Raw genomic sequence first — 23,763 nt, forward strand, 5'->3', positions numbered from 1 at the left:
ATGTGGTACTTTCTGCACTGGTTACTGCAGTACTTTGTTCCACATGAGAGCTGTAAACATGTTTATTCTTGTCAGTGTTTATGTGACTTTTGCTCCTATGATATAAACTTTCGCTGAACTTTCTTGGGGGATTGGGATGATCTCTTGGGAGGACCTCAGCAGATTTGGGCATGTACATAATTTTGAATTGAGTGACCACAAAGTACCCATTGGCAAAGGCTTGATGCCCCCTCAGCACACACATGAACTATTTTCTAAGCAAGTGCTTACTTGTAATTTAACATTGCCAAGTCCCCCATCCAGCTAAGGTATATTTATCTAGATAAGCAGTCTTCAAACTAGGGTATGCATACCCCTGGAGGTGTAAGACTTCCTAAGAGATACACAGGTTCAGAAGTTAATACCAGTAATTTTCTAATTCCTCAACTTTAATATATTCTACTGCTTGAAATTGATTTGCCTGAGAACTCTCCTGTGAGTTTTCCTTTCTTACCTCTTCTTTCTCACGCCCTTCTTCTACTAGATAAAATAAAGACATATTTCCCTTCCACACAGAATCTTACTATGTGCTTTAGCTGAGTGTAATTTCTTGCCCCCAATAAAGGGACAATTCAAAATACTGAGGTAATACTGAAAAGTGAATGTATAAGTATCAAATCATTCTGCAAGTCAGGTGGTTTCCAATTTACTGCTTTCAATAAAATGGAATAAGGATCCAATCATGCTGTCAATTGGTAGATAATTAAAAATAAGTTTTAATGATAGACTGTTAAAATTATAGATTACTTAATAATAAACCATAAAAATAACTCTTAATAATAGATCACTATATGAATTGCCACTAATGCAGAGAGTTCAAAGATTTGAGTGGTACAGTTGAAACAAAGCTCTTTCCCATCTATTTTCCTAAGTGAGTAACACTGCTCAGAGGTTCCATCTATAAAAACAAGTAAGATAGACCTGCTGATGATGTATTTTTAATAAATGTTCATTTTATGTAAATAAACATTTATTAAACTTTATAATATAATTAAATAAATACATTAATATTTGTAATAATCACTCAATACAGATAAACTTATTTTAAAGGCTGAGCCTTATGGTCATAGGAAATTTTAAAATTTAAATTGAACACATATGCTTAATTTTGCAAACACATTTTTATGGCTGAAAAGCATAATAGGGTAATCAATTTTTTAAAGTTAACATAAAATTATCTGGGGGAAGTAGAATGAAAATATAAATTCAAGATAAAAAAGTAATAATGTGAAATTTCCATATGTTAAGGGGTTTTCAATGTATTTTTTAGAAACAGAAAATATTGAATATCAATTCACTCTGATATTTAGATTCTACTGGATATATTAAAATTTTGTTTACTGAGTATCAATTCACTCTGATACTTAGATTCTATTGGATATATTAAACAATTTTTACACTATGCCAGAATGTATAACCTTTGCAACTATTTGAACTTGTGATGAAAACTTTTAGATGTCAACTTAAAAATTGTCTGAGAGGATACATGGTTTTAAATAATTCTTTTAGGAGGTAGAAGTGTAAAGTCTGTTGACCAGTGATCTAGGGCAGGGACAGCAAAACTAGGGCCAAAGGCTGAATCCTGCCCATGCCTGATTTTGTATATGTAGTTTTATTAGAAAAGAGTTATGTTCATTCATTTCTTTTTTATTTATGGTGGCTTTTGTGCTATACTGGTAGAGTTAAGAACAGCTTGAGTTTCCCTTATCTGAAACACTTGGGACCAGAAGTGTTTTAGATTTCAGATTTTTTTTTCAGATTTTGGAATATTTTCATAGATTGAGATATCTTGGGGATGATAGCCAAGTCTAAACACAAAATTAATTTGTTTCATATAGAATATATATAATGTATATATATATATATATATATAGCCTGAAGGTAATTTTATATAATATTTTAAATAATTTTGTGCCTGACATAAAGTTTGGACTGTGTTTGAATGTGACCTGTCACATGAGGTCAGGTGTGGAATTTTCCACTTGTCTTGTCACGTTGGTCTTTAAAAAGTTTCAGAGTTTGGAGTATTTGGGGCTTGGGATTTGCAGATTAGAGGTGCTCAACCTAAAATATTTACTATCTGGCCCTTTACCAAAAAAGTTTACCCATGCTTACCCTAAAGGGTTACAACAATTGATGAATTCATTTAATTAGACTTGATAGCATAGGATATTCATTGTCAAGGTGCAAAGAAAATGATGGGTCTAAAATTCAGAAATAATGCTTTAAATGACTCAGCAAATGGGCTTTATTATTTTCCTGACTTTTAAACTACCCAAGTGAGCATTTTAGTTTTTTTAATATATGGCAAATCATATCTACTCAAAACAAAACAAGATTTAAGAACCAGAGTGGTATTTATCCTTCATGTAGATAATTACGTATTAGATTTCTGATTATACTTGGGGAAATGATAAATGAATTGGTTTAGAGCTTAAGGTTATTTCTGTTCATCCTGATAGTCTACCTGCTAATGGTAGCCATTTAGCTCTCCATTGAAACAATGCCTTTTAAAGACAAAAATGGTAACTATATAAAGGGAACATCTTGGATTTTAAAATAATAAATCTGCTTCATTCATATGCTTTCTTTAAAAACATTAAAATTCTAACAAATTTATTTGTGCCAGGAAAATCTGACAAAATTACAAGCCAAATATCTATGCCGATAGCATTACACCACAGGTAGGCAAGTAAGTTTTTATTCTAAAAGTTATTAAATAACATCTTCAAAATCGAGGCTTAACATTCTTAGTGATGCCACATTTGAAATCCCCACACGTAAGGATGAAAAATGCTAAACTAGAGATTTCGACTAATCTACTCAAAAAGCCTAACAGCAATTAAATATTCTAAGTCATCTGCTGCAGATGCTCATTTCATCCCAATGGCTCTTTCTGGTCGCCTCCCTATTTTTTTCTCCCCTGAACAAATTTAACCTCCAATGGCAATTTATTGGGCTGTAGGACCCTAGGAAAATGAATACAAATATCTTAACACTACCATTGGCTGGGCAATATATTTCAACTTTGAAACTGCTCTGCAATTGCACATTAATCCCCTCAGACTGAACAGAAGGTCTAGGAAGAAAGGATTGATCTCCTTTAATGATGAAACCCTGGCACTACAGTTTTATTTTTCATAACGCAGTGCTGCTAAGAACCCCACTGTTATTATGAAAATTTTCCTAGCAAAGGAGCTCCATCACATTACCGGTGCACCAATTCATCATAACGTGCCTTGCTCCTGCTCATCAACAAGTCTGAGTGATGAAAAGATCCAATATTATCCTGACAGTACTTCATGCGCATTCTCAATCACACATTATTACAGCATCCATATTAATTTTCAGTGACACGCGTCCTAGGCCTGTTCAAATTAGGCAAACCAACGAGGGGGAGTTGATGAAATACCAGCATAGCCACAGCTCATTGCATTCCAATTTGCATGCAAATGGTTTATCAGGAAAATTCCATTCCCAGCAACCAGCAAGTGAAAAACAACTGTAATCTACACTTCAGGGCCACCATACAGAGCTTAATGAATCGCAAAGAGAGAAGGAAGTGACAGACCTATGAGAGGATCGATTTCCACTGGCAGCTGGTATGGCTGGTCTTGTACAGCACCTTGATGAGCTGGAATTCACAAAAGATAAAGAAAAAAGGCATTATTTTTTATATACTAAACTACATAAAAATGCATAAGTCAAACCTTATGTAGAATTGTTTCCAATCTCTAAATCTTTCATGCAGTTTTGTGAAATTTAAAGAACAAAAATCCAGGTGCTTTTATGGCTAGCTTATTAAACATTTATTTTAGATTAGTGCCGCTCTGAACTGTGCCATCAGCAGTGGCTCCAGTCCTAGGCCATAAGCTATAGCAGATGCTTGACTGGCAACCTCTGATGCTGCAACAAAACAAAATTAAGTGGTAAAGCGCACTGAAAACAAAATGTGACAACCATCTGCTGACTGTAGCAAATACTATTTTTTTGTTACTTCTTAAAAAGGCAGTTTTGAATGCTACAGCACAAAGGATCTACAAAAATGTCAACTTATGATGGAGAAAGGGAAAGCTCTAAGTCAGGGAACATTTAGTGTTTCATCCATCACTTAAAATCAATCAATTGAAAGTTTGAATAAAAATAAAGAAAGCTATCCGCAGATAAATGTTTTAGTTAAATGCATTTGGCTGAAATATTTTCTTAAAGATTGGATTGAGGGTTTAAAAAGAAGTTTTATTAATATTTAATATTTCCATGGTTTCAATTTAAAAATACTCTGAGAAGGAGATGAATAACAAAAATCAATCTATCCTAAGAATACTTTGTTCAATTCTCAAAATGGTTTTAAAGATTCAGGCATACTTATTTTATAATTGAAGAGAGGTTTTGCAGGCTGTTTCCCTCTGAAAGGGAGAAGGACTTTCGGTAGAGAGGAAGTATATCAGGAATCAGGAACTACCTGATGCAACCTTGTGCAAATCATAAACCCTAAAACAGGGTTCAGAATAGATTATCTTTTCAGCTTCATAGTTCTGACAGTTAAATTCTGGGCCCTTTTCCAAACTATTTTCCCCAAACGACTCAGCCATTCACCCTGCTCAGTATCTACTTTTTATAGACTCACAAGCATTCACATTATTGCTTGGTTGGTATTAGAGCTCTGCTTAATGCCATTGATACCGGTGGGCTAGGGGAGGTCCCCAAACACCAGTGGGACCTCAACCCTGGCTCTTGACACTGTGGTGAGAAGAAACTCAAGGACAAGTCAGAAAATAGTGAAAGTATGGAGATTTATTGCAAAGCAAAAAGTACACACTCAAAAGGGGAGTGTGGGTGTACTCAAGAGAGAGTCGTGGACAAGGGGCGTTGGGGTTCCTATCTTTATGGGTTTCTGTTAACCAAGGGGTGGAATGTTCATGAAGATTCCTGGAAAAAGGTGGCAATTTCTCAGAACTGTGGTGCCATCCATTTTTACACCAAATATGAGTGCTCCTGGAACGGTCATGGCCCTGGTGGGTGTGTGATTTGTATGTTAATGAGCATATAATGAGGTCCTATGTGAAACCTAGATCAAACTCAGCACCATGTTGGGTCCAGACAGTCTCAGCCAGCTTGGCCTGCACCCTGGTTTTTTCAGGGTCTTATCAGATCTTAGCTTCTGCAGCTATTTCAACAGTTTCCTTTTGATAGTCAAGAAACTGCTGCCTGGAATTTTCTATTCTCCTGTGATTACCATATATTATTCCTGTCTTACCATAAGATTTTAGGAAATCTATCTGTCTTTGAGGGGCTGAAAATAAATATGGGGTACATTTCAATAAGTTCATTAGATTATTTTATACTTACTCTGTCATAGTTTCTCCAGTTAGTAAATACCAACTTTTTAAAGATGTTTGGAAGGTCATTAATACTGATAAAACACCTAAGTACAGTATTGGCACTAGAAATTACAGTATGTATAAGAAACTAAAGTAGCTGAAGAAAAGAAACCACAACGGCTCTTTTAAAAAAAACCCAAAAGGTATTTGTCTTTGCTGATTACTGTCTCTGCTGGCAAAGAAATCACAGGATACTCACAAGGGAGGACCAGGAAAAATGCACTACAGCCTCTGGTCTACCCAATAGTGCCACTTACTTCCAGCAATACCAGTGTCAATCAACATTAATACCTTTAGAATTTCCCTCTACTTCTCTGATAATCTGAGATCTTAGAAACATTTAAACCAAACTGTCAGTGAAATGGGTTTAAGGAGGTTTGCTGATGCTTCAAATCCTACTTCTGCCACTGACTGGCTGTATGAACTTGGTCAAGTTATGTAATCTCTATGTTTCAATTTCCTGATCTATAAAATAGGTTAGATTGAACCATATGAAATTGCCAATAACTGACTGTTTTGACCTATAAAAAAACGCGATTTCATATGGTTTCAACCTAAGTACAGAACCTACATCCTCAGGTTGTTAAGAAGATTGAGTTAATACACATAAAATGATTAAAACACTACTTGAAGAGGCATGAAAGTTTATCTACTCCAGCCATGTTTTGCCAGTGAGGACACTGAGCCCAGGGAGCTCGCCTTATTCTGCATCAAATATGCCCAGTCAGTGGCAGAGTTTGAGCCCAGGTTTTCTCACTCGGATTTTATGACCACCTCTCCCCTCTTTCATTAGAGCAGGAAAGTTGGGACCTGGATTCAGCACTGTTCTTTTTGGCCACCAGTTAGAATTTTTTTTAAGAAGAAGGAAAATCTTAGAAACTAGAAAAATGCTCTATAAACATTTGCTGGTGTTATTCTAATTTTTGGAGGTTTTCAAGATCCTTTGAATGAGAAGGGAGGTTAAAGATTATTTATTTTCTAAATCAGACACTACTCAAAGAACTGAGGGGAACCAGCTGTCTAATGAATGAGCTATGGAAATCATAGATCCTCAGAAAAGAAACAGAACCTAAAATTAAAAAAATAAATATTGTAATATGGATTTGATATTTACCAAAGAAAAACTGTCAGGGATTTTTGATGTTTGTTTTAAATCAAGGCATAGTGACAGGTAAAGGTAGCAAGAGATAGAATGAAAGGTTAGATTTATGTAAACATACCTAAAATGAAGCATAGACTTAATATAATAAACGCTTAATATTCTTAGTTGCAGGTGCAGCTCAAATTGGAGATCACATTCTAGAAAGATAACTGCCTGTGGTGTATTCCCATATGTTATCGCTTTTTGTATTTTTCTGGTGAAAAGTTGCTGTGTCATACTGTAAAGGCAGTATGTATGGAAAGGGTGAAGACAAACATCTCTAATGACATGGTTATAGACACAATGAAAGCTCACTGAACAGAAATATAGGCAAGATTCTGCAGAACCTTGCAGTTCCCCTAGCTATCTTACAGAAAGGTGAGCCAGGACTGGGAACAGTTGGATGCATCCTAAGTGGTACTCCAGCAGTGAGACTCTACCCCTAAATCACTTTACATATTTATTTATAGAAAAATTGGAAGTGGAGAAGATAATACCTGACCACTAGGTATTAAGGGAAGCAAGCTTTGTAGTGAGGGACACCAGCTTGCTGGAAAGGTGAAAGCCAGAAGCTTAGTCATCAACGCGTAGGGTCTTAAATGCTTAGGGTTATCAGTGCTAAAACTTGAAATCAGCTGGAGACCGAGGAGCCCTGTGGTTGAGCCAGCTCAGTTCCCGTTGAGCCAGCTCTTCCTAGGCTAAAGTAAAGATGGGGGCAGAGTACAGTCAGGGCTTTCCAGCAGTTGCAAGGTTTGCCCCTCCTCACATCTGATGTCACTCTGTTTAAACTGAAGAAGCTCTCAGGGCTGCCACAAACAGCCACCCAGGATAAGCATCATCATTGGTGGTCCTGAAGTCACACATGCTGGTGCAAAGCTCTAAGGGTAACCGCACATAGAGTAGGTAAATCCTCTAGTGTATTTGATAGAACATATCACCAGCATGTTTTTCTTCTAAAAAGTGTTTAGAGAAACAAAAAAATCACGTTTCTTAAATAAATTGTAATATTTAGTCCCAAAATATAAGTATGTTATTTTCATAAATATTTACTTCTGTAAGAGAAGTTTACTTAAAGAAAAAAGAATAAAAGGACATAATAATAGAGATATTAAATATCTGCCTCCATTTTTACTGTCTCTACCTTTTCTGAAATCTATTTTGTAGTCAAATATTGGCATTTATTTGCATCGTTTCATTTCCAATATACCCAGGAAAATGGCTATATTTAATCAATTCTAATACCAACTACAGATTCTTTGTGGTAGGTATACCTTATTGAGCTTAGTCAATGTACCAAGTTTTTGTTTGAATGTCAATTCTGTTCCCTTGTGAAAGCTGTTGCATTTAATTTGGCATGAGGTCCTTGTTCAAGAACTTGTATTTTTGCAACCATTTCAGGTATTCTAACGAGCAGTGCTTTATGCACACTTCAGAGATTTAATGACAATTTCATGAACTATTAAAATGTATCTTTTAAATTTGCCTACCTAAAACAACGGCTTGGGAAAAAAGTCTATAATCTCCAGAAGTTTAAAAGATTTTCCTTCTTCTTAAAAAAAATTCTAACTGGCCAAAGAGAACAGTGCTAAATCCAGGTCCCAACTTTCCTGCTCTAATGAGAGAGAATACATTACAGAGGGGTGGTCATAAAATCTGAGTGAGAAAACCTGGGCTCAAACTCCGCCACTGACTGGGCATATTTGATGCAGAATAAGGCGAGCTCCCTGGGCTCAGTGTCCTCACTGGCAAAACATGGCTGGAGTAGATAAACTTTCAATGCCTCTTTAAATCTGCACTGTTTATGATTCTAATGGTTATTTCAGTTGAGCATGACTGTGTTGAGCATTTAATGGAAGAACAGAAGGTACTTACAGATATTCAATATTTTGGCTATGTAATTTAAGTGTTCTTTTTTTTTTCTATTATCCTCAACAAATACTACCAATACTACCATGCCAAGCACAAAAAGGTACAGTTTCTGGCACATAATAGACAATCAGAATTGTTTACTGTGGCTGGACATAGTGGCTCATGCCTGTAATCCCAACACTTTAAGAGGCTGAGGCAGGAGGACTGCTTGAGGCCAGGAGTTCAAGACCAGCCTGGGCAACATAGCGAGCCCATCTCTACGAAAAGTTAAAAAAAATTAGCCAGGCATGGTGCTGCGTGCCTGTAGTCCTAGCTAATCAGGAGGCTGAGGCAGGAGGATTGCTTGTGCCCAGGAGTTCAAGGCTACAGCGAGCTATGATCACACCACTGCACTCCAGCCTGAGTGACAGAGCAAGGCCTTGTCTCTAAAAACAAACAAAAATTTGTAAAAACCCAAGTGTTTATTAAGTAAAATGAAAGTAAAAAAGAGAAACATTTGATAAATAAATAAATATATACTGTTTATGGACATAATATAGAATATCATTATATTAAAATACTATATTAGAAACAATATTTATCTCCAAGAATAAAGATAAACCACCAGAAGCTAAAAAGTAGTTTATGTTTTTAACATTTGTACTATATGCCTCACGTGGGCCTTTTTTAAGCCTTTCAAACTATTAAACAATTTGATTCAGACTAATGCTTGAAAATTAAAAGCTTAAATGTTGAGATATGCTATATTTAAGTGGGTATTACACAGTGTTCAGCAGTTACCATGCCTTATAATGGTATTTCTTTACTTACCAGGAAGGTTGTGCCATTTGTTCACCGCAAATAACCTGTTAGCAGTGACTGTGATCACAGCGGGAGTTGCCAAACCAGGCTGGGTGTTGGCTGCCACGTGAGTAACAGGGGAGTTGGAGGGAAACTTGAGGACCATGATAACATCCTGCTGGGCTTTGTCTGTGAACATCAATGGACTCTGCAGGAGGAGATACTGTTGAGTGGGCATGACAAGACCCAAATAGACAAGAAGGAAAAGATGAAGAAAGACAAGAAAGAGAGGGGGTGCAGGAAAAGAAGAGGAAGACCATATTAACATGAGTTGTAAGTGGAAGCACAGTGAGCAGAAAGGCTTGTAGAAACAGCAGTCATGATCTGTTATTCATGTATGTCGTTAGTTGGAATTTTGGGGGACTGAAGTAGAATACATTAACAGAAACACTTTAAAATTTATAAATTTTATGAGCTCCCTTTCCCTCCCCACTGCCACGAAAAACTAAAAGAATGATTTGATTTAGATTCTACACAGGCAAAGTGCTGGGGATTGCATTAAACCATTCTGGTTGCTATCGTGTCACATAATGATCTTTTAGCACTAAAAAAACAGTAAGAATGGACAACAGGCATAAAAGCAAGACAAGGTAATTTCCAAAGATCATCAAAAGTTGTGTTGAGTTAGCAGGAAGATTTTGACAACTACAAAGAGGTAATGAAAACAAATACATTTATAAACAATAGTTAGACTGCATGCATATATTATTACAGTAGAGAAATAACTTATGAACGTAATATACAAACTTAATTATAAAGGTGTTTGAAAGCAATGCATAAATGTACTTGTAAAAACAATATATTTATATAGTGTACCAAATCATAAACACTGCCTATTGTAATGCAAATGCTACTGCTTTCTGCTGTAGCTAGGAATAAAGAGAAATACCTAGGTGTTCCTCTTCCCTGTTGGTTAAAAAACAAACAAAACTAGAGCTCAAGACTTTTTTGATTTCTCCTTCAAAAAACAGAGTAATTGAAAATGTTAAATGAAACACTGTCTGTTCTAATAACCAGCAACCAAATAAATCTTGAAGACTACTAAGGATTTGGAACATTCTTACAACCCATATGTCATAATCCAAGACATATATAACACTGCTCTGATTTATTGGCTTTATTTATACTTTGTGGTGGTGTGCTATCATACAGTAATTGCACTGTACATTTTCAGCAATTCTCTCCTACCATGTCTGTTTTCTAATAGCTGATTAGTATCATTCAGAATTGAAACACTTTGATGAAATGCTTCTGGCTGCTTTCCTTCTGCCATATTTCAAAACACCAGGTAATATGTAAATGTGGAGGCACATATATTTAACACATATTTATTCAGAACTGGTAATAAAAAATTAAATACATTTGCATTTTTATTATCAGTCCTTTTAAAAAAGTTATTAAGAGTACTTAGAAAAACATATTGCACTAAGAATTCCTATTTGCACTCTTTGCATAAAGGTGTAAATAAAGGCAACTAATAAGCTACCCGGACACCCTTCTGAGCAAGTGGCTAAAAGCCAATCAATATTATGAGTTAATCCTCCCTGGATGCTCATTCAATTAAAGGTGTCAGTAATGCCTCATCTGATGTGGCCTCAATTAAGTCCAACTATCTGATGGTGTGAAAACACAGGGGGATACAGCAACAGCAGCAAAACCAGACAAATAGGCAGCCTTCGTGTGCCTGCTAATTACTACACCTGGTGTATATTATGGTTCATGCACTTAACGCAGCACGAGGTGGCTTTAATTTCTGCTATATTTGTGTGTGTCTCTGTGTGTGTGTGTGTGTGTGTGTGTGTGTGGGGATGCATTGATGGTTGATGGGGGAGCTCATCTGAATGTTACTAAAAACAATAAATATGTGGCCTTTGATTTTTAAAACCCTAGTATCACTAGTTTTTGTCACACAAAGAACGTTTTATATAGTTTTTAAGGAATTCTGTGAAATTAGGTAAAAATGAGAAACAGGGAGCAACATGAAGGAAAATATCCCATAAGCTAATTTTAAAGAAGTCCTGGGAAAAGGAAATGAACATCATTTCCAAGTACCAAGTCTTATTTTTCAATTATGTAGTTTTTAAATAATATTTACGAAAGTCAATTTATAAACTCAGAGAAAATCAGAGTACAACATAATCATAAAATCTCACTGAAAGGAAGTACATACATATTTCTGAGCTTAACAGCTCATACTATAAATATAATTAGGCTCAAATTGAATAGTTCCAATGTTTATGCCCTTAAAAAACACAAAAAAAATCTCTCATGTGTAGGAAGAATGTCTTGTTTACATAGTGACTCTGGTGGGCCAACTCTAAGCCACACGGCAAGGACCAGCCACCTTCCACAGCAAGCTGCAGACACCATGTCCAGAAATGTCCACTGCCTTCGTACAAATATCTGTCCCTCTAGTCTGCTCCTCCATACCCCATCCTGACTAGAGCTCCTGATGCAGGCAAGTAGCAGGAAACTCTCTTGGGCGTTTCATCATATATCCTTGGCTAAAAAGCATGAATGAGAAACACCAGAAATAAGAAAACCATACCCCACACTACTAGGCTACTCTGCAGTGACAGCAGCAGCTGCAGATGAGCAGAGCAACTGGTAAAACAGGGATAAGAGAAACAAAGCCTCTTTTAATACTGGGTACCTCTGTGAGCCAAGGCTGGGGTACAAGTAGGAAATTGCTAGCCAGGTTTCATCAGTTTTCCCAGATTAAGTATACATTTGTTGACAACTCTGGTTTCTTTTTAAACTGCCTTTTCCCCATGCACATATGGACAAAGCGAAAAACACAATTTGTGCAAGTCTGAAGAGGAGTTCAGGTATTCAATTCAGAGGATAAAGGTAATGGAAAAGACGGCCTCCCATCCTTATATGAGCATGAGCCTTCCCCGCCTTCTCACCCTCGGGATAGCAAAGCTGCTCTGCCTGTATGAGCCAATAAGCCTCTGCCATGGAAGAAGGCTGGGCAGTGACCCCAGCAGAAAGTCAATGGAGCAGAGGAGGTGCTTCCATTTGCCAGCACCAATGCAGCCTGAGTCTCAATGGCAAGCTATTACTAAAGCTAATTCCAAATGCAAACATAAATCATTCTTACTATTTTTATGGCACTATCTTCCATTGTTCTTGCTAAATGTTTGCTATCTATGTAGTCTTCTGCCCACTAAAGTCACTCTTCACGTTCATCTAAATCTGATTTTACTGATTTAAAAACATGTAGGGGAAAGAGTGATGCAAACAATTTTTAAAATGTGTATAGCTTATGATGGCCAATTCATACTGCTAGATAAAGAAGGAGAAAAAATCTTGGAAGAAGAAAGAAAATGACAAAGAGCACAGAGGGAAAAAAAGACACAGAAGGTGATGTGGGAAGAGAAAGGAAAAAAAAAAAGGAAAAAAGAGCCAGAGGTAGCAGGGCCTCCTCTCTATTTCTTACTTTCTTCACTGCTACTCTTTCCTTCCCAGTATTTATCAAAATTCTGCTATCTCTACACCACAACATGGAATTTGACTTTATATAATTGTTAATTATATTTACGGGAACAGACTTTGTAGTTTCTATTCTTAATTTAAAACAGCAATGAGCAACTTCTTTTTATGAGGGACAATTGAAAAACAATATGTATAGTCTATTCCTTAAAAATTATTTTAATCACGCACTTCAATTTGTTACTCTGCCAATTTTTTTTTCCTCATTGAAGAATTTTCCCCCTGAAATTTCAGGAACTATAAAGGTAAAATGGCCACCTTATTTTGTAGCTCAAGTCTATTTCCGTACCCATGATTCTGGGCTGACTTTTGACTTGCTTTGACCAATGAAATGTGGCATAAATGATGTGTAGGTTCAAAAGCAAGCCTCAAGAAGTCTGGCTGCTTCTGTCTGTCTTCATTCTCATGGGACTGCTCCTACCATGGGAGCGGCCTGGTCTAGCTTCCTTAAGGATGAAAGGCCACATGGAAAGAGAAGCCTGGCTACATCAGCCCACCCCCAAGCAGTGTGTGAGTGAGGCGAGGTGAAAAGAGCAGAAAAGATTTTCATCTAACCCTCAGAATCATGAGAAATACAATACATGATTGTTTTAAGCCACTAAGTTTTGGGTGGTTTGTTATACCAAACCATCATTTTTCTCCTCACTGTGGTCCCTGACCTTCAGTAACAATATCTTATGTATTAGAATTTGTTTTAAAATTCCCAAACTGAAAAATATATTGGGATGTAAAGAATAAACACAACAGCAAAACTAATCTAGAAACTCAGAGAATCAAACCAGAAAAGTCATCAACCCTATGTCTGGAGTCCTTTATCCTACAGTGAGGATTCATGACAATTATGGACCTTTCAATTCTGTAACACAAGACACCAACTGATGAAATACAAGAGCACTGGAGCAACATTTACCTTCTCAAAGATTCCAGGAGACAATGCAATAACATCTGCTGGTTGTTAGCAGGTTAACAAATATTGCATAAAAAAACAAACCCACATATGGTGGAGAAACTCAAGCACAATGAAAGACTGTTATGAATATCAAGCGGATCTGAAGGAGAGGCAAGAAATGAGGAGAGTAAAAATAGCACTTACCACTTGCATGGCAGAACCTCTGGGAGGATGGGGCTCTATGAGTAGTTGAGAAGGAGTCTGTCCAAAACTTCGGATTTGAGCTTCAACAGCCTGAAAAGGGCAGGGGCAAGTCTGAAGGTTAAGAGGTGCTAATTACAGGAAATAGAACCCCAACTGTCACCTGAAAATATCATTCCATACTCTGGCTTGTTTCATGCTGAAAATCAACCTGTGTTTTCACAGTGGGGCTAACCACCTGGCAAGGGCATTGAGGGTGAGGTCATCATTTAGAACCGCAGAAGCTGTTCCTCTAAAACTCTGCAAAACTTTCTCATCTTGCTCAGTGATATGAAACAGAAACCAGCTATTACAATCAGAAATTGTCCTTTTTGGCTTCATCTCTGTTTTCTTGCACTTGGTTTTCCTGCTTGCATCATCCCCAATGATGAAAAGCTAATCTTTTACAGGTATAGAGAAAAACTATTGCTTCTTTGATTCTAGGTCCCATTTCATCCTGGGGAGTAAAAAGGAGGAAAAAAGAAACATAGCACCTGTGAAAGTGGCTTGATGCTATATTAATTTTGCCATAGGAAGAGCATTATTGTTGACTGTCTCTTTGAAGTTAGACAACTAAATAACAAAGTAAAAGCCATATGTTGCATCTAAGCATGAGATGGTTAAACCAGGGAGTCACTAAACATGAGGAACGTGTGTATGTGTGCTCTTTTTGAAAGACGTGTGCTTTTGCAAGGCACTCTCCTACTATGGCTCTTGGTGCACACATAGCACACAAATGCCCATTTCCATCACCAACCACCCATCATGGGAAACTGCTAAATGCCAGGTGCTATCACATCTGTAAGCATTGTGTTTACTTGTTTATATCTGTTTCTTCCCAGTAAAATACAAAAGCCATGAAAGCAGGACCTTATGTATCTTCTTCACTGTTAGATCCCTAAATTGGCTGAATGAATAAATGCTACATGCTGGGTGAGGGGAGAGAAGGAAGCAAACACATATAAAGGCTACTTCGACACTCCCGTAACAGTCAGTATGCTTAACTCCCAGGCTAAAAGGATGAGGAAAACCCTCAAATTAATAAGAATAAAAATTGGAGCCAAAAGGAAGTGAGGTAGGGACTAGGATCATTTTCAGAACATCATCTCAAATATTTTCTGATAGAGTGAAATTAATTTATGATTAAACATCAAGAACAAGCTTGAGAAAAAAATCATAAAATGGGAACCTGAAGGCTAAAGGTAGTCACAAAGAAGGAGGTAGCAACACTGCTAATTTATGATATATGAACTTATGGACTTAGTTTATGAATGAGAACTTTATATCTTTTTGAAGAACAGCTGGTAAGGATGGGCATGATGGCTCACACCTGTAATCCCAAACCAAGACAGGAGGATCGCTTGAGGCCAGGAGTTCAAGAACGGCCTACATAGTAAGACCCTGTCTCTACAAAAAATAAAGAAAATTGGCTGGGTGTGCTGGTGTGTGCCTCAAGTCCCAGATACTTAGGAGGCTGAAGTAGGAGAACAGCTTGAGGCCAGGAGTTCGAGGCAGCAGTGAGCTATCATTGCACCACTGCACTCCAGCCTGGACAAGAGTGCAGCCTGGACAAGAGTACAGCCTGAACAAGAGTGCACTGTACAAGCCAGACCTGTCTCCTTGACAGTTGCCTTCTGTGGTTCCTGCCCGGCAGCCCACATGCCTCCCTGATTAAAAGGGGAGGGAGGTGGCAAAGAACTTATTGCTTCAGCACTTGGCCTATCATGTCAGATGGCTCAGAGTGCTAATCCTGACTGTGACACTTATCTGCTGTTTGACTTTAGGCAATTAGCTTATCTCCGTTTCCCATCTACAAAGAGATAGTAACAATACCTAGTTCACATAATTGTTTGGAAAATGAAATAAGATAATGCATATAAAGTGCTTAGCACAGTACCTAGCACATACAAAGCACTAAATAAAATGCTGTACTGTATTATTATTTCATGTGGGAGTTGGTGTATTCCCCACTTAACACAGCTAAAATAAAGAAGGAAGAAATGCCTCAGGAGTTTATGTAGGAAGAGAATGAGAAATACATTATTTAAGAAAACTGAAATCTGGCTTGGGATTTCAAAATATACCACAGGGCTAAGAGCCTAGAGACAGAGAGATTTCTTTGGAGGTTCTGAGAGCAGTCCAAAACATGAGGAATTATACACCTGGGTCCTTATGGAAGCTATGGTAATAGTAACAAAGAGATGAATATGTGAACCAGCTAAGGAAAAATCAACAGGTCTTAGGGACTGATGACTTTGAGCAATAAAGAAAATACAAAACTAATTCCTTTTCTTAAAAAAAAACTTGCATGTTTCAGAGAATAGTAAAGCAATGAGCAGAAATAGGAATACAGGAGTTTCTGTTAGGGAAAACAAGTTTGGCAGGAGAAAGACAGTAAATTTTACGTCAGACACATGGAATCCAACGTGATAGTGATAACCATTTATCTAGGTCAGTATGTCCAATGTGTAAAAGCCTAAGAATGGCTCTGAGGTGAGAGAAGAGAGGTATTGATTTTGGTGTCATTCATATAAAAGAGAAATTTAAGTTACTTTTTTTTTTATCTTTCTCTCTTGTTGTATATGTGTGCATGTTTTTAAGCAGCAGAAATGACCTCCTTTTTGAAATGAAATATCACATGAAACCTCAATACATGGAGATAGGGTTATTCAACTTTACAGGGGTGAAACCATCCCTAACAAGCCTCCTCATCAGCCTCTGAGACAATTCTGAGAATTCTTTAGGGCTCTGGAGCACAGTTTGAAACTATACTCGTTAAGCCCTAGGATGAAAATACATGAGACCCAGACACAAAAGCACCTAGAGCAGAACCTCAAGAAGTATTTATATTTAGGGTACAAATGAGGAAGTAATGAAGAAGACAGAGAGAGGGCAGTCAGAGGGTGGGTGGGAGGAAAAGCAGCATAGAGTGATATGGAAGCCATAGGATGAGGGTTTTGAAGAGAGAATGGGCAGTAACGCCAACTATGATAGAGAAGCTATGAATGATGACATTGTAGCATATACATCTTTATTATAGATACAAATTTAATATAACTGGCCTTAATATTACATATAGTGTTTTGCACTTAACAATGTTTTGAGATGAAAGGTTATGGATGAGACAACTTCTGAAAATACCAATCTCCTCTTTTTAACTAACTTAACTTTAATCTTAACATTTTAATACAAGTGGCACATTACTGAAAACTCTGAGGAAAAGGCTTTTTTAAATCACGTAATATAGTGGTCTGATTATTCTATCTCAATGACAGAATAAAAGCTATAGTCTCTCACACAGGTTAAATAATAATCAATTTTCTTTCCAAGTCTTGAAGGCATCTGAAAAGGCTGTGGAATTCTCAGACACAAATGCTTTACTTCTTAACGAACCTTTCAGTTCTTGATATTAAAAATGCAACAGAAAGGACTTTTTCAAGTGTGAAAATTATAGAATAAGATTGTAAGGTAATGACTATGATCTCAAAACTTTATAGTCACACTGTATATCATCAACTGATAATTCCAGTTCTCCTCCTTGTTTTTAAAATTCATTTGCCATTTTTCATTCATCTTAATCTCTGAAGCAATTTACAGAGATTCTCCCTTCTGTGGCTTCAATGGCTTAATGCTTAGACTGGCTCTGTAGTCTACTCCTTTAATCTCTGTCTTTTGCTGACTTGTCATCCATAAATAAATTTATTACTGTGAGTTCTCTTTTAGCACTATGATTCACTCAACTTAAGCTTGCTTTCTTGGAAATTTTTTCTACTGGGCCTCAAACTCTGCCCCTATCTGAAAGGTTTCCAGTCCTATGACCAGAGGATTGCCCACTCCCATGAAGTTTGCCCTGGCCATCTTGTGTGTAAGCACATGTATGTCTTAGCACATCTAAAATCTTAAAATACTATTTTTTATTTTAGCATTTCTCAGTCAAGAATTAGATTCTTCTGATTTTTTAAAGCTCAGAATCTTGTCTACATTTTAAAAATTTTACCTGTTTCACATATAAAGTCACTAAGCCCAATCACTTCGAAGTTTATCACATTCATCACTCCTTTCTGAATCTAGGCCCCTTATAATTTCAAGTATCGATTATTATAACAGTCTCTTTGCTGGTTTTCCCCCTCTATTCAGTTTCTGCCTCCAGCATATCCTGCAGAACTAAGTTTTCCCAAACTCGCCTTTATGCAATATTTCTCTGATCAAATGTCTTCAAGTGATTCCAGTAATTAAAAGATAAAAGCTAATGCCAGGCATTGCAGGTTTTCCTATCTCTCTAACTTTTATTCTCTCATTCTATCTATTACCTTATACCAGTGTTCCTTTTCAGTCAAGCTGGTTTTCTTCTACAAATATAAGCCATCTCTGCCTTACATTTTCTACCATGCCACTGACCCTCCTAGAATGGTCACTCTTATCTTCAGTTTTCTAAGTTCTACTCCTCTCTAGAAAACCCTGTTTGAGTTCTACCAAGTTTCCCTAATCTTGTTAAATAATATTACACCTGTTCATACTGCTCATTACAGTATATACTTGATTCAGAATTTCCTGTAATGTTATTTATGTCTGTCACTACAACTACACTATAAGGCACTGGTCCCCAAACTTTTTGGCACCAGGGACTGGTTTCATGGAAGACAGTTTTTCCATGGACCTGCTTGGAGGGGTGGATATGGTTTTGGGATGAAACCGTTTTACCTGAGATGACCAGGCATTAGATTCTCATAGGGAGCGTGCAACCGAGATCCCTCGCATGTGCAGTTCACAATAGGGTTTGCATTCCGATGACAATCTAATGCTGTGGCTGATGTGACAGGGGTAGAGCTCAGGCAGTAATGCTTGCCCACCACTCACCTCCTGCTATGCAGCCTGGTTCCTAACAGGCTGTGGCTCGGCGGTCAGGGACCCCTGCTAGAAGGGTCTGAATACCATATATGTGCAACAGGTGGAACAGTACCTTGCACATAGTATTTAGACAACAAAAAATTTACTGAGTGCCTGTTATATAGCAAGCTAGCCAGGAACCCTTATGGCTCATCTATGGTTGGACTGGGGACAAAACCAAGCTTGAGAGATGAGCACACTTCTTGATGAGGGCTGACTGAGGTTGCAGGGGAGGATAAGGAGTGTTAAGTAAAGGCTGGTATTTGCTATTAGAAAGAAACCAAATGAGTCTCTCAGGGAAGCTCTGAAAGATGTCACTAAAGGCAGTAATTCTCATTTCTTCAGATCCAGCATACTGGAGGATAGGACAACACTCCATTGTCTCACTATAGTAGTAATTCTTAAGGTCAAGTGAGAAATCCTGGGGTAATATGTATGATTTGAAAAAGTCCCTCAAGTGATTATGTTTCTTGCCTTATCTTCACTTGCCTATTCAGCCCTCTATATAGAGCAATAAAAAATTTAAAGGCATAAATGAGGTGTGAAATAACAGGAAACATACAAGCATCCTTAAACCCTGTACGGTTCAGCAAGGTGGGTTGGTAATAGGGTAGCTTAACAGACATTACCAAATGCCTCAACTGCTCTTAATGAACTCTCCTTCACCTAGAGAGTTTTGGTGCTAGGTGATCACTTTTTAGACATTCAGTTATGTAACATTTTTTGTTATGGAATAGGATAATGAATCCCCACATATCCATTAGCCACCTTCAATAATTATTAAGACATTTTGGCTTTAGGTTATCTTAAAGTCGGGTCAATCTAGACAATGTCCTAGATAGATTCATTGAAAATTAACAGAGTGCTTCTGCCTTTAAACAATTTATTTTTTTTAACTTCTAATGCAAGACTATACTGAGAATAAAAGTATCTTACAATGACCAAAAATATAAGCATTAGCTGGCAGCCTTCATATTTCTTCTAAGGGGCTGAATATACTCAGACTTGCAAGGAGATGTTCAATCCTTAAGTTGCAAATTTGATTATGTGACTCAAAGCCTTCCGTTCCAAATCCTTACCCTGGGTAGCACCACAGCATAGGATTAAGTATGCAGACACTGGAATCAGACAGCCTCAGTTCAAATCTTACCACTATCACATATTAGCTCAGTGATTCTGGGCAAGGTACTTAACCTTCTGTGCCTTAATTTCCTCTTCTAAAAATTGTGATAATAACTGTCAATATTTTATTGAGTTGTGAGGATTAAATGAGATAATATAAAGCACTTAGAACAGTTCATGGCACATACTAAGCTATCAGTAAGTGTGTGATATTATTACAGCATATATATTAAAGACTTAACACAGTGCCTGGCTAGGGTTAAGCAAGCACTCAATAAATGTTACCAACTACTCATCTTTAAGATGAATAGTTATCTAGCCCCAACCACTGTCCATTTCACCACTCTATAATGTGACATATAATCAACATCATATTGCCTTTAAACCCTTGTATATATTTTCTATTCCTTTTCTCTGTGTGGTTTCTTTCCTCCTCATTCTTGAAGACTTAGCTCAGGCATCTCTGGCCTCTGGGAGATCTTTCTTGACCTCACCCAGACTGTTGCTGTCCCTCCCTTTTTGCTCTTGTAGCAACATGCATAAACTTTTACTGCCTATTTATCTAATATTCTAATTACTGGTTTAATTTTCCAACTTATTGATCAGACTATAAGTCTCCTTTAGATCAGAGACTGCCTAATATTTCTGTGCTTCTACAGCTTGGCACATAGTAGGTGCTCAGTAAATATTTACCCAGTGAATGTCCATGCAAATCAACTTAATTTAGGAGGGATGCAGCTAAGAAATGCACTACTACCACAATCACAGAGCAGTCTAGTGTTGAATAAAATATTATATTAAAACATTTCAAAAAAAGCTTGCTTTATTAAATATTCTTATTCATCAATTCCCAATTATTTCTGTAAATAGCCTGTTACTACTTTCTATAATAAAACCTGAAGTCAGCAGGCAGCATTCCAGATGTTGAGATATATAGTAATAAAAAAGACTATGCAAATACTTCAAGACATTGCAGTAAAACCACATATTTATATTTTATAAACAGCATCTCAAATATTACCTAGAGAATGTATTAATGGATCTTCAAATGGAAATATTATGAAGAGATTTTCAACAAGCTGTGTATTCTATAGTTTTTGTGTGTGCCAACTATTTCATACTTGCATGATTTTATAGCTATATATAGAAAAAGAGACAATATATATAGAGAGAATATACATACACATACTAGACAGAATGAAAGGAAGAAAGAAATAAGAGATAAAAGTAAAGGAAAGTAAACTTGGCTTAGTGACAGTGTAGTATTTGGCTTCAACTTAACAAAGACTATTTTAGTCTCTCTGACCTAGGCTTTTTAATCTAACTGAGGAAACAAGTTAACTCAGTACAGCACTTAGTAACCAACAATAAATATTGTAAAATTTTATTTAAGATGTAGGGTAGGGGAGAAATAACTTAAACATATGGACACAATTAATATATATGCCCTTTTTTTTAAGCACACAACTCTGATATTGTATTTTATCACCTACATATTTACATCTGAACGCACTATAAAATTGGAATAGGGAAATAGAGACAAAATAATTTATTAAGAAAAGATATGTCATTTATTAATATATTAAAACTTTCTCACATTACCAAAATTAAGTTCAAGAAAGCTGCTGTAAGATTCTAATCCACCTCTTTACCAAGAAATGTTTAAGCATTCCAACAAGACTTCATAGATTAAATTCTTTTCAATATTTAAAAAGTCACACTAAGACCATCCAGTGATGTCTACTGTGGTATCATACCATTACTTGTGCCAGTTTTCTTCTTTCCCTTCAGATGTTTGAACTTAAATTGTAGAACACTTGCTGGATATTTGACAGGTTTCTACTCAAAGTTTACTGTCTAGCTGACTAGCCTCAGTGTCCTTTGGAGGTATGGTTCAACTTTAGCTTCGATATCAGTTAAGTTTAAAAACATATTAATCAAATGACTACTTAATCATGATATGGTTACGTTTGTATTTAATTCCTAAAGGAAAAAAATCCTGATAATATTGTAACTGCTAAGGCCAAAAAAGGACCCATAGCAAGTAAATATATTTGGTAAAAATGGGATGAAAATCCCAAAAGAGAAAATCAGAGATGTTTGGATGACATCTCTATCTGGCTTAAAAGAAAGAAAGGCAAAGCATCATTAGAAACATTTGGAAACCAGACTCCCACTTAACCTTAGGAAAGAAATACAAAGTTATTAATAGTTTTTAGTTGTCAGAGCAATAAATTCACAAAATTAAAAAGTAGTATAATGAACCTAACTCAAATTATTTAAAAAGAGTCTTCTAAGATTAAAATGTAAATATTTTAAATGCCTGAGAAATAAAATACAGAATTCAAACTTTATAAAGCATAAACATAAGAGATAAATAGTTTTTCAAGAAAATGGATACACCAGGATATGGAATATTTAAAACTCAAGCAGATAAATGTTCAAAATATACAGCAGAGGATATTTTCAATGAAATTTGCAAAATAATCTATTAATACATAGAAGAGTAAATGAAATTCAACAGAAGTGATTCTATGTAAATTTGGACTTGAAAGACTTAATGTTTTTAGTTTTGAGAATGCAGACATAAAGACAGATATCTAAGAATTTAGATAAAAGTCAAGTTTGTATGTTATATATATGTATGTGTATATATATATAACACACATATACTTACATGTGTTATGTGCATACATACATACATATGCATGAACACTTGCATGCAAAATCTGGGGGGTATATTCCAAACTATTATTTGCTATTTTCTCTGATGGAGGAAGGATGAAAAGATTGGCAGAATAAAAATTTATACTTTCCTCATTTTTATACCAATTGATATCTTACACAAAGCATGTATTATTTTTGAAATAAGCATAACAAAACAATTTTCATTTTGAAAAAATCTAAAAGACAATTTAAAAAAAAAGGTCTGCAAATATTTGGTATATCATTATTAAGTTTTTTTTGTTTTGTCTTGGTTTTTTTTTTTTTTTTTTGACAGAGTTTCGCTCTGTCACCCAGGCTGGAGTGTGGTGGTGCAACCTTGTCTCACTGCAACCTCCGTCTCCGAGGTTCAAGTGATTCTCCTGCCTCAGCCTCCCTGGTAGCTGGAATTACAGGTATGCACCACCACACCTGGCTAAATTTTGTATTTTTAGTAGAGATGGGGTTTCGCCATGTTGTCCAGGCTGGTCTCAAACTCCTGACTTCAGGTGATCCGCCTGCCTCGGCCTCCCAAAGTGCTGGGATTACAGGCATAAGCCAACACACCCAGCCCCACTTCTATGAATTTTCATAAGGAAAGAATCAGATGAAGACAAAAAGATTTAGATATAAAGAAAGTTATTATAGCACTCTATAACAGTAAAAATTGGAAGAAAAAAACTACTTAAACTCTGATAATGGAATACTATGCAGCCATTAAAATGAGTTGAATACACCTGACATAGAAACTAGTTCATAATATACCAAAGAAAGAAAAATTTCTAACTACCAAAGTATATAGAGTATGACCTTATTTCAGCAAAAAATATATGTGTATGTGTGGCTGTGTATATATATATACACACATATATACATATATATATACACGTATATATGTGTATATATGTGTATATATATACGTATATATGTGTGTGTATATATATATACACACACATATACGTATTATATATGTGTGTATATATATATATACACACACACATATATGTATATATAAAGCACTTAGAACAGTTCATGGCACATACTAAGCTATCAGTAAGTGTGTGATATTATTACAGCATATATATTAAAGACTTAACACAGGGCCTGGCTAGGGTTAAGTAAGCACTCAATAAATGTTTTTGTTTTTGTTTCTTTTT

At 36.3% G+C, this 23,763-nt stretch overlaps 1 protein-coding gene across 11 annotated transcripts in view, besides 1 other annotated feature; it reads right to left on the reverse strand.

Annotated features, from left to right (window-relative positions):
* LRBA (LPS responsive beige-like anchor protein) overlaps window positions 1-23,763 on the reverse strand; it is a 751,293-nt gene that overhangs the window by 47,516 nt on the left and 680,014 nt on the right. For 6 of the 11 annotated variants that reach the window (NM_001367550.1, XM_005263373.4, NM_001440431.1 and 3 more), the window contains 3 exons: window positions 13,859-13,948; window positions 9,241-9,433; window positions 3,611-3,673 (listed from right to left, as the gene is read on the reverse strand). In NM_001367550.1, the coding sequence (NP_001354479.1) occupies window positions 3,611-3,673; window positions 9,241-9,433; window positions 13,859-13,948 (346 nt within the window). The remainder of the gene's footprint in view (window positions 1-3,610; window positions 3,674-9,240; window positions 9,434-13,858; window positions 13,949-23,763) is intronic. The other 5 variants (XM_047416462.1, NM_006726.5, NM_001199282.3 and 2 more) reach the window with 1 other exon arrangement.
* Window positions 14,214-14,283: an enhancer, noted in NCBI's record as "active region_22014". NCBI's record gives its function as "activates an Ori minimal core promoter by ATAC-STARR-seq in GM12878 lymphoblastoid cells {active_cell/tissue: GM12878}" and the evidence as "EXISTENCE:reporter gene assay evidence [ECO:0000049][PMID:35858748]".

The sequence above is a fragment of the Homo sapiens genome, chromosome 4 (assembly GCF_000001405.40).
Source record: "Homo sapiens chromosome 4, GRCh38.p14 Primary Assembly".
NCBI classification, from domain to species: domain Eukaryota; kingdom Metazoa; phylum Chordata; class Mammalia; order Primates; family Hominidae; genus Homo; species Homo sapiens.